General features: G+C 35.7%; 1 annotated feature.

The window, feature by feature from the left end:
- Nucleotides 4,154–4,655: an enhancer, noted in NCBI's record as "H3K4me1 hESC enhancer chr8:110966047-110966548 (GRCh37/hg19 assembly coordinates)". NCBI's record gives its function as "activates a minimal SCP1, AML or CMV promoter by ChIP-STARR-seq in naive H9 embryonic stem cells {active_cell/tissue: H9 hESC(naive)}" and the evidence as "EXISTENCE:reporter gene assay evidence [ECO:0000049][PMID:30033119]".

The raw sequence follows: 12,770 nt of genomic DNA on the forward strand, positions 1-12,770 counted from the left end.
TTGGTGGTTCTTAATTTATGGGACTTGTAATTTTCTTTAGAGATACCAGAAGTAATTACTATAAAGTTCAAGAGCAATTTTTTATTAGGAAAAATGTTTCGTGACATTACCTAATGCTGTCCGTTAATGTAATACTGTAAAATACCTAATTCTATTTGACTTTAAGGCAGAATGATGAAAAAGAAGAATTAGGAACTGAGAGGTAAACCAGAGAATGTCTTTCGGATCCCTATTTTATTGTGTGGCCTTCGGTAAATTTCTGTGTCTATGGGTACTCCAGCTTCTTCACTTGTTTACATGCTATAATGGTTATTTTTATGCATCAACTTTACAGGGACAATGGGTGCCCATATATTTGCCTAAACATTATTCTGGGTTTGTCTGTATGAGGTCTGTTCCTAAATTTATTTATTTGCTTGTGGATACATAGTTGTTGCAGCACCATTTGTTGAAAAATACTCTATTTTCTTTATTATGTTGCCTTTGCTTCTTTGTCAAAGATTAGTTGATTATATTTATGTAAGTCCATTTCTGGGCTCAAATTCTGTCCCACGGACAGCTTTCTTTATTCTTTTGCCAATACCACATTGTCTTGATTACTGTAAATCTTGAAGTCACATAGTGTCAATCCTTTAACTTAGTTCTTCTCATTCAATATTGTGTTGGCTATTCATCTTTTGTCCCCTATATAAACCTTGGAATCAGATTTTTGATATCTACATAATAACTTGCTGGGATTTTTATTAAGGTTGCCTCAAGTCTATAGATCAAGTTGGGAAAAACGGACCATTTGTCAATATTATCTTCGTATCTATGAACATAGTATATCTCTCCACTTATTTAGTTCTTCTTTGATTTTTTTCATCAGTTTATGACCTTACATGTATTTTGTATAAATATGTATTAGATCATATATATATTTTGTTAGATTTGTACCTAAGCATTTCATTTTTGTGGGTACTAATGTAAATGACATTGTGTTTTAATTTCAAATTTCATTTGTTCCTTGCTTATCTGTTTTCCTGTTTAGAAAAAAAAATGCAGCTCACTGCCAGTGCTCATTTAATTCTGCATAAACACACTCTTTGAGGCTGAAACAAATCTGACTGATCTTCAATATGAAAATAAAATGTAAAACCTGTTCTTGGATTTATTTCTAAACAGAGCTAACATCAGAATTGTCTATTTCAGAAAAATCAGATTCATCAAATTATTCTTTGGCAAATTACAACTCAAGAACGATGTTAATATCGTGTGTAGGAATGCTATATTTTCTAGGATTTGACATTTTCAGTGATTGAGATATACTATATTTTCTAAGTGGAAATACCACTACTAAAAAGAGAATGCAATAAATAGAATGATGTCTTTTGTTTCCAAAGCTGATATACTCGAATGATGTGAAAATAATAAAAGCAAGATACTTTGTGGCAAAGTTAGCTTGGAGTAAACGCTGCAGCTGCAAACCCCACTGGTGAATATTCTTTGGGCAAATGAGAAAAGGATTATATATAGGAAAGTGATTGACATTTGTATCTTAATCTTGTGTCCTGCAACTTTGTTATAAACACTTATTTGTTCCAGGAGTTTTAAAAGATTCATTTAGATTTCCTATGGAAATGATCGTGTCTTCTGTGAACAAAGACAGTTTTATTCTTCTTTCCCAATCTGTTTACCTTTTTTAGAAAAAGAAAATTTGGATTCAGGGATTACATGTGCAAGTTTGTTATGTAGGTATATTGTGTGATTCTGAGGTTTGGGGTATGGATGGTCCCATCACCCAGGTAATGAGGATAGTACCCAGTATGTAATTGTTCAGCCAGTCTCCTCCTTCCTTCTGCTCTCTAGTAGTCTCCAGTGTCCATTGTTTCCATCTTAATGTTCCTGTGTATTCAATGTTTAGCTCCTACTTATAAGTGAGAACATGTGGTATTTGGTTTTCTGTGCCTGCATTAATTTGTTTAGGATAATGGGCTTTAGTTGAATCCGTGTTTTTTCAAGGAACATGATTTTGTTCTTGTTTATGACTGTATGGTATCCCATGATGTATATGGAACCACATTTTCTTTATCCAGTCCACCACTGATGGACATGTAGGTTGATTCCACATCTTTATTATTGTGAATTGCACTGAAATGAACATACAAGTGCATGTATTTTTTGGTAGAATAAATTAGTTTTTCTTTGGATATGTACCAAATAGTGGGATTGCTGGAGGTAATGGTAGTTCTGTTTTAAGTTCTTTGAGAATTCTTTAAACTTCTTTCCACAATGACAGAAATAATTTACATCCCCACCAACAATGTATAAATGTTTCCTTTCTCCACAGCCTCACCAGTATCTGTTATTGTTTGACTTTTTTATCATAGCTATTCTGACTGGTGTGAGATATTATTCCATTGTGGTTTTGATTTGCATTTCTCTGATGATTAGTGACACGGAGAACTTTTTCATATGTTTGTTGGCCGTGTGCGTATCTTCTTTTGAGAAGTGTCTACTCATGCCTTTTGTCTATTTTGAAATAGGATTGTTTTTTGTTTTTTGATTTGTTTAAGTTCCTTATAGTTTCTGGATGTTAGACCTTTGTCGGATGCATAGTTTGCAAATACTTTCTCCCATTCTGTTGGTTGTCTGTTTGCTCTGTTGATAGTTTCTTTTGCTATGAAGAAGCTATTTAATTAGTTAAATAGGAGTCACTCTTGCTCAATATTCTGGAACAGTTTTACCAGCATTGGCACAAGTTCTTCTTTGTATGTCTACTAGAATTCAGCTGTGAGTCCATCTGGTTCAGGGCTTCTTTTGGTTGGTAGGTTTTTTTTTTATTATTATTAGTGATTCAGTATCAGTGCTTGTTATTGGTCTTTTCCAATTTTCACTTTCTTCCTGGTTCAGTTTTGGGAGTTTGTTTCAAGAAATTTATCCATTTCATCTAGATTTTTGAATTTTTGCACATGTAGGTGTTCATAGTAGTCTCTGAGGAACTTTATATTTCTGTAGGATCAGTTTTAATGCCATTTTTGTTATTTCTGATTGCATTTATTTGGATCTTCTTTTTTCTTTGTTAATCTAGCTACTGCCTATCAATCTGGTTTATTCCTTTAAATAACCAACTCTTGGTTTCATTGATCTATTTCATGGCCTCAATTTCGTTAAGTTCTTCTCTAATTTTAGTTATTTATTTTCATCTTTTAGCTTTGAGGTTGGTTTGCTCGTTTGTGTTTTCTAGTTCCTCTAGGTGTCATGTAAGTTGATATTATTCTAACTTCTTTATGAAGGTGTTTAGCACTATAAACTTTCATCTCAACACAGATGGTCATCTTGTATCATATCTTGCAGGGCTTCTCTGTATTTCTTTAATGTGCATGTCAACCTCTCAGTCTCTAGTGAGATTGGTGAAATTTTCATGGACTGTATACTCAAATGTTTTTCAAAGTGCCTACTCTCTCTCCTTCTCTCTCTGGAATGCCAATGAGTTGTAGATTTGGTCTCTTTACATAATCTCATATTTCTCAAAGATTTTATTTTCTAAAAATTCTTTTTTCTTTGTTTTTGTCTAACTGAATTGATTCAATGAACCCATCTTTGAACACTGAGTTTCTTTTGTCAGCTTGGTCCCTTCCGATGTTAATGCTTCTGACTGTATTTTAAAATTCTTGTAGAGAATTCTTTAATTACAGAATTTCATTTTAGTTCTTTCTTAAAATGGATATTTTGTTTTTCAGCTTCTGGATAGTTTTACTTGACTCCTTGGATTCCTTGGATTGGGTTTCAACTTTCTCCTGCATCTCAATGAGCTTCCTTACCATCCAGATTCTGAATTCTATGTATATCCTTTCAGTCATTTCAATCTGGTTAAGAACCATTGCTTGGGGATATTGTGTTCATTGGGAGATAAAGTGACATTCTGGCTTTTTAAATTGTAAGAATTCTTGTACTGATTCTTTCTCATCTGAGAGGGCTGGTGTTCCTTTATGATGTAAGATGAATTAGAAACAGTTAGCTTTGTTTGTGGGTGTTTTCAGTTTGCTAAATCTCTGTACCGGATCCTTTATATATGGCTGGATTTTTGCGATAGGTTTCACAGGCTTTGTACACTGCCAAAATATGTTATTTTTTTTAATTGAAGTAACACTTATTTTACTTAATAGCGAAATATTTTTGGTGTTGTAATTTGGGCTGAAATCCAGTAGATGGTGCTTAAGAGTAATGGCTGGCAGTTCTTAGGCAGCAATTTTGTATTTCAGCACATCCATAGTAGTGCTTTGTGATAGTGGGAAGAGAGAGACGATGCCCTCACCAGATCCACTACTGGGCATCAGAGGAGCCCCTCCCCAATCACTGGTGCCATACCCGTGTTTCCTTTGTTAGGTGTTCCAGGCCTGGGGACTTTCTCAGGCAGAGGTCACAGCTGGCAGACAGGCTATTCCCTTCCAGAGAAAGGAGGCATGCCCTGTTCCCTGGCCAGCCCACAAACCAGGTCATCTCACCTCTCTGTGTTCTGAGAATGGAGGCTCCTCCCCTGCATGGGCACCACCCAAATGGGCAAGTCTTGCCTGCTAGGAGCAGTGGCAGGGTGAGGTGGGGGGCAGTCACACAATCTGCTGCCTAGGTGTTTCCCAGGGGAACACAGAGCTGTGCCCACCTGCAGCGTTCAAGCAGGGGTAGGGCCACTCTGCTGGAAGCCCAAGCCTGTGAGTCTGTCCCAGCTAGTTAGCAGCAGCAGGAGTGGGTGGAGTGGCACAGACTGACCTCCAGGTCTTTCCTGGGGGAACAGAGAGCTGTGCCTGTTGGCGGAGTTCATGAAGGGGTGGGGCTACTTTGCTGGAAGCAGGAGCTGAGCCTTGTCTGGCAAGAAGTGGAGCAGTCTGACTGCTTCCTGGCACCATGACTATGGCCTCCATCAGGGCTATGGCAGCTGGTTTTGGGCTGCCCAGGGATACAAGACCTGTGAGGCTTCCTGTGATTTTGAGTGGTGCCTCTGCAAAAAACTCCATGTGGATCTCTGTATCTGTCTAGAGGTCCAGGGGGCTAAAACTGGTTCTCTCATTCCCAGGATTGCACAGGTCCCTGTAGGGCATGTGAATCATCTGGGGATTCTTACTCCCTCACCCCTTTCCTGTGTTAGGGAGCTTCTCTTGGCTCCATGCTGGTCCCAGGTGGGTGACTGCCCAACATCGCTCGTCTCTGTTGTCTATGTCCCCTGGCTCCCTTGATCAATCCTAACATGATTTCTTAAGTGATCTACTTTAAGAGTTAGTATTTACTTTCCAGTTTGTTTCCTCTCCATGAGAGTGGCACACACTAGCTGCTTCTAGTCAGCCATTTTGAACTTCCCCTGTGTGTTCGAACTTTACTGTGTGTGCCTTATTTTCTTGTCTTATTACATTAACTAGTACATTTTCCAGTCCTTGTTCTCTTTGCTTTTCAGTTTTTGAACATTCTATCGATATATCCTGAAGTACAAAGATTCTTTTCTGAGCTATATCCAGTCTACTAATCAGTCCATCAATGGCATTTTAAAATTTTCTGTTATGGTTGTTTTTGATCCCTAGCATTTCCTTTTGGTTCATCCGTAGATTTCCATCTCTCTGCTAACATCACCCATCTGTTCTTGTGTGCTATCTACTTTATCTGTTAGAGTCCTTAGTATGTTAATCATAGTTGTTTTAAATTACTGGCCTGATAGTTCCAACATCCTTTTCATGTTTGGTTTTGATGCTTGCTATGTCTCTTCAAATTGCTTTTTTTGTCTGTTTCTTTTTTTGTATTTTGGTATGCCTTGTAGTTTTATGTTGATAGGCAGACATCGTGTACTGGGTAAAAGGAACTACAGTAAATAGGCCTTTAATAATGTGGTGTTATGATGTGGGGGAGGGGAATCATTGTACTGTGCTATGATTATGTATTAGTCTTTTAGTAAACTTATGCCTCTGACTGTTATCTTCACAAGTGTTTCTCAGCTTGCCACCCATCCTATCCCAACCCTTAGGTGGAACAGGATTACTAGAGTGGACTAGAGTTGGGTATTTCCCTTCTCACCGGTAAGTTAGGCTCTAAGAATAGCCCAGCAAATCAGGCTCTGGTAAACTAATTCTCTTGAGGGCAGGCCTTGTTAAGAACAGAGCGCTCTGATGTATTAGTATTTAAACATGGTTTCATTTTTCCTCTCCCTGCCCAAAGCATGAGGGGATTGTTCTCTGATATTTACTGTGAGAATTTGATTTCTCTCCTGGAGTTAAATCTTACAGCACTGTGTTCCCCTTCCCACCATGACAGGGTCCCCCTGGAGTTTTTGTTTGTTTATTTGTTTTGTTTTTTCTCTTTAATTATATTTTAAGTTCTAGGGTACATGTGCACAACTTGCAGGTTTGTTACATATGTATACATGTGCCATGTTGTTGTGCTGCACCCATTAACTCATCATTTACATTAAGTATATCTTCTAATGCTATCCCTCCCCCCTCCCCCCACTCAGATGTGTCCACATTAAGTCTTCAGCAATTCATCAATTACAGTTCAGATTTTCCTACCCCAGGACTGTTTCTTGCAGTAGTTTCCAGTGATGAGTCTTTGCTCCAGTAGGATGTGACTGCCTGTCTTTGCCTGTCTCTCCAGTTTTGGGAGCAGCAGTTAGCCCTATGTCCTTGCCTGTCTTACAAATGCAAGGAGAGTTGATTTTTCTGTATATTCAGCTTTTTATTTGTTGTTGGGACACAGTGGTGACTTCCAAGCTCCTTACATGCTGAATCAGAAATTATAAGTCTCATTATAATTGTTTAGGATAATAAAGCAATCTATTTTATGGGTAATTTGTTTCAATTAAATTAACATATTTCTATTACCATAAATATAAAGACTGTTGTATCAGATATCCTTTTTTTTTTTTTTTTGGCCAATAGCAGGTTAAATTTACTTATCCTACCTCAGAACCCACTGCAATATGTTGATATAAAATTGAACTGTGAAATATGAACACCCCAGTTATAATGACAGTCAAAATCATATACCATATAATCAATAAATAAGATAAAGTTATCCTCTCCTAGCCAATATGTGCTTTGAGCACATCCCCTGCATGTCCCTTTCCAAATCCCTTCACAAACTTACTACAATGCTTTTTGCAATGTCTTCAGTTTTTGCTTAGAAGTTGTGAGGTGCAAATTAATATCTTCTATTGTATGCTATGCTATACAGCCTATTCCATCCCATCCTATCCCATTCTATGCTATTCTGTTCTATTCTACCCATTCCATTTTATTTCAGCTCCATTTTTTAAAAGCAGTAGTCACAACTCAAATATATTTTATAGCCCATTAATTCCCTTTGATTTGCAGTTTTAAAAATAGCATGGTGTGTATGCTAAAATAATTCAAGCTGTTTCCAAATCTTGGAGTAAGAGCCATGTAATTACTTCTAATAGAAACTTTTCCTTATTATTAAAATAACACAGAATTATACCTTTACTGTACAGGTATCAAAACAGCTCCAGTGTTTGTTTTATAAAAATTACTTTTATGTGACTCCAATATGTATGATTGCTTCATTTCATTATTCATTGTTTGATCTACAAAATTTTTCTTCAAAATTTAAAAGAAGATAGAAAAAGACTGTTATACTGTCTTGGCCAGTTCTAATATGAATTGGGCACATTTTGCCACAATTCTTTTTTTTCTAGATCATGTATTATTCATATCTGTACCAATTAACTAGCCCCTCTCTTTGAACATGTACAATGTTCTTAAAAGGGTGTCATATAAAATTAAAAGAAAAAGTCTTGCTCTGTGCTCTGAAGAACAGTTCTGGAAAATAAATGTCAGCAATATGTGAGAAATGATTTTTCTAACTGAATTATAAGATACACTTGCTGAAAGTTCTCTGAAGATTTATTTATAATATAATAAGATAGATGCTTAGTGAAGAGATAGGACCTATTTGTCCATGGATTGCAGATTTTGAAATCAAACAAATTGGTTTATTTAGGTTATTTCTTTAGCATATTTTATTAGCCTGTGTAAAAAATAATATAGGATATTTTATTGAAAAGGGAGAGTTGAGGCATACTAAATTAGAAGGATTTGTTAAATATATTCTGATAATATATTTATTAAAATTATTATCACAAAATTAGATATTCTATCATTAAAATTATATAACAAATTGTACTGTTATACTTAGAGGTTTTTTTTCAGGGAGTAGTTACTTTCTTTGGTTAAAATCTTAAAGAAAACTAACTAAATAAATAATAAAGCTTGTATGAGGAAAGAAACTATAAGTTCAGCTGACAGTGGAAGAATTATTTTATTTTTACATTTTTCATTCATTTTTTTTCTTTTCCTGACAGCTTGTGGTCAGAGTTGTATTATTGTTTGTAAATTTTTTTTTTAATTTTAGAAGCAAGACTCATTGAAATAAATTTCCTATGAAGTATAGTTTCCATGGCAACTGTAACTGTCTTTTATTTTCACATGTACCATTTAGAATTAGTTGACAATAATTATAGACCACTTAAGCTAAAACATTTTCTGTACAGCAGAGACATGTATAAAGACAGGGTTTCAGAAAAATAGTTCTGGTTTAGAGAAACTTAAATTACTTGTTAAGAAAGACTTGATTTTCTTACTTAAGTAGATGACTGAAATTCTATCTAAATATCCAGTGTGAAGTTTGAGATGACTATTGAGATATGTCAAGGGACATTTTCCCTACTATAATTTTAAAATTCCATTTGTTACCAAAACTTTTCATTTCTCTTGTGCTGCGTATGTTTACATGCACATTCCTGACTTCTCAAATCTTCTTTAGTTCAATTACTACTTCTTTGGAAACAATTTGGGTATTGGGCAACAGAATAATGTAGAAAGTATGTGCATTAAAATTAACTTTTTTATTTACCAAACCTCTTAGACCATAGTTTTCTAAAGAAGGTAAAGCAAGGTTTCATATAATTGAAAGAACTGCCAATTAACTTGAGAAGGAAATCCATACGTTAATTAATTAAGTTGCATCATGCTATTGAAAGTGAATATATTTATTTATCTCAATGGCCTTCCAGAAGTTAATTTGTAAACATGAAATTATTTTTCAGTCATTGGATTATTACTAGTGTCCATTGAAACAATATTTCTCTGGGTGAGATGTTACCAGTTTAGAAAAGAAAAAAAATGAGATTTAGATGGTTGTAAAATCTCCCCCTGAAATACTTTTACTCATGCCATTTCTTTGTTCAATAATAAAGGTAAATAGCATGACAATGACAATCTTGTGCAGGAAAACTATGCTGTGCTTTAGTACACAACAAAAAGTGTGTTCTAGCATGTAAAATTATTCTCTGAGGTTAATATAGGCAGGCTAAAATTTTCTTTATAACTTTTTTACGATGCTGGGGTATAGTGGAAGCAATTATGTGCTTTGATGGAGTACTGTGGACAGTGGAAGAAGGAGCAAATGACCACAAGCTGCTGTCCAGAGACTAACTGCAACAATGAGGGCTCTAGTTTATTTCGCAAGCTCTTTTACTAAGCTTCCTCTCAGAAGAGGCCATGGGATTCATGGTGGGGCTACTTCTGAACCTGCATTAGCTCTATGGATTACCTGTGGTGGCAATAAAAAGGTACTTTTCATATCTCCTGCTGAATGAAGTATAATTGACTGACAGCCTGAGCTGTAGACCTTTTGGAGTATTAATGTAGAGGCATACCTTATTTTATCGCACTTTGCTTTATTGAGCTTCGCATGTATGTCAACAGCATGTGATCACATCAGGTCTCTGTGTCCAATTTTGGTAACTCTCACGATATTTCAATTTTTTAAATTATTATTATATCTAATACAGTGATCTCTGGTAAGTGACCTTTGATGTTATTATTGTAATTGTTTTGAGGCTCCACAGACCTCATCCATATAAGATGGCAAACTTAATAAATGTGCGCATTCTGACTGCTCCACCGACCAGCCGTTCTTCCTCTCCTTAGGCCTGAGGAAATGACAATATTAAAATTAGCCAATTAATAACCCTAAAAGGACCTCTCTAACTGTTCATCTCTCACTTTAAGTCAAAAGCTAGAGATGATTAAGCTTAATGAAGAAGGCATGTTAAAAGCTGTGATGGGCCAATAGCTAGGCCTTGTGTGCCAAAAAGTTAGCCGGTTGTGAACATGAAGAAAAAAACTATTGAAGGAAATTAAAAATTATATCCCTGTGAACACACACATGATAAGAAAGTTAAACAGCCTATTGATGATATGGAGAAAGTTTTAGTGGTCTAGGTAGATCAAACCAGCCACAACATTCCCTTAAGCCAGAGCCTAATCCAGTGCAAGGCTCTCCCTCTTTTCAATTCTATGAAGGCTGAGAAAGGTGAGGAATCTGCAGAAGAAGAATTTGAAGCTAACAGAGTTTGGCTGATGAGGTTTAAGGAAAAAAACTGTCTCCAGAAACTTTAAAACCTTTAATATAAAAGTTCAAGGTGAAGCATCAAGTGCTGATATAGAAGCTGCAGTAATTATCTAGAAGGTCTAGCAAAGAAAATTGATGGAAGTAGCTACACTAAACAATAGGTTTTCAATATATATGAAATAGGCATGCATTGGAAAAAGATGCTATCTAGGACTTTCATAGCTAAAGAGGATAAATTAATGCCTGCCTTCAAAGCTTCAAAAAACAGGCTATCTTTTTATGTATGTAGCTGATGATCTTCAGTTGAAGCCAGTACATATTTACCATATGAAAAATTGTAGGGCCCTTAAGAATTATGCTGTATTTATTCTTGCCATGCTTTATAAGTGAAACAAAAAAGCCTGGATGACAACATGTCGGCTTGTAGCATGGCTTACTGAATATTTTAAGCCCACTGTTGAGACCCACTGCTCAGGAAAAAAAAAATCCTTTCAAAATATTATTTCTCATTAACAATGCATCTAGTCACTCAAGAACTCTGCCGGATATGTACAAGGAGTTTAATGTTGTTTTTATTCCTGCTAACACAACACTGATTCTATATCCCATGGATCAAGGAGTAATTTTAACTTTCAAGTCTTATTACTTTAGAAATACATTTTATAAGAGTATAGCTGTTATAGTGATTCCTCTAATGGGTCTGAGCAAAGTAATTTGAAAACCTTCTAGAAAAAATTCACAACTTTAGATGCCACTAAGAACATTTGTGATTAATAGGAGGAGGTCAAACTATCAATTTTGATGGGAGACTGGAAGAAGTTGATTCAAAACCTAATAGATGACTTTAAGGGGTTCAAGACTTTAGCGGAGGAACTAACTGCAGATGGGGTGGAAATAGCTAGAGAATTCAAATTAGAAGTGATATCTGAAGATGTGACTGAGTTGCTGCAATCTCATGACACAGCTTGAATGGATGAGGATTTGCTTCTAATGGATGAGCAGCAAGAAAGTTGTTTCTTGAGATGTAGTTTACTCTTGGCAAAGATGCTGTGAATATTGTTGAGATGACAACAAATGATTCAGAATATTACAAAGATATAGGATAAAGCAGCAGCAGGGTTTGAGAGGATTGACTCCAATTTTGAAAGAAGATCTACTGTGGGTAAAATGCTATTGCACAGTATTTCATGCTATGGAGAATTCTTTGTGAAAGAAAATGTCAATTATCGATGTACATACTTCATTGTTGTCTTATTTAAAGAAATAGCCACAGCCACCCCAAGCTTCAGTAACCACCACCCTAATCAGTCAGCAGCCATCAATATTAAAGCAAGACCTTCTATCAGTAAAAAGATTTCAACTTGCTGAGGTTCAGATGATTATTAGCATTTCTTAGCAATAAAATATTTTTAAATTGTTAATACATTGTTTTTTAGACCTAATGCTATTGCACACTTAATATGCTATAATATAGTGTAAACACAATTATATATGCAGTGGAAAATCAAAACAATTTGTGTGACTCACTTTGTTGTGATAATCTCCTTATTGTGGGTGGTCTGGAAATTAACCTGTAATATCTCCAAGATGTGCCAATAGTCCCATTTCTAAAAAAAAGTAGGACTCCTTAGTGGGCTACTTTTTCTCAAGTGTTCTCCATCAAACTGGCTGAAGTTTCTTAGGAATGGGATGTAATCAGTGCTTTTCCCACCCCCCCCCCCCCCCCGCCAATTGTCCTCCTTCTCCCTCTTCTTCATAGCTGTCAGACCTGCATCATGGTCTGAAGATTCTTCCCACCTTCAATAGTTTCCTTCTCTTTATTATTCATAACCATTTTTCCACAAGTAAATATCTTGCACATAATCAATATTGTAAAAATCACCTGTATTGGCATCTGCCTCTCAGAGGACTTGAACTTAGAGTTTGGGGAAAAGATAAATAATTTGATATTGGATGTGCAAATTGCGAGATGTTTATTAGACATCTTTTGAATAGGCAGTTAGTTCACAAATCTAGAAATACAGTAAGTGAGAGGAAAGTTCTAATCTGGATGTAGGAATTTGGGAATTGACCGAGAATCAATGATACATAAGCCATGAAATCAGATGATTTTTGTCAAGGGAGCAGAATAAATGAAGCATAGAAGAGGACTGATGATTAAGCTCTGATTTATGACCTCAATTAGAAAAGATGACTGAACAGTGAAGTGGGGATTAAATTAGGAAGGCATGAAGGGCTGGAAGTCAAGTAAAGGAATTGTTTTAAGGAAGAATCTGTAATTAATCTTGCAAAATGCTGTTGATGAATCTGGCAATATGAGTTCTAAGAAATGATTGGATTTGGCAATGATGGACTCACTGCTGACCTTAAGGAAA

This window comes from Homo sapiens, chromosome 8, assembly GCF_000001405.40.
Source record: "Homo sapiens chromosome 8, GRCh38.p14 Primary Assembly".
NCBI lineage: Eukaryota > Metazoa > Chordata > Mammalia > Primates > Hominidae > Homo > Homo sapiens.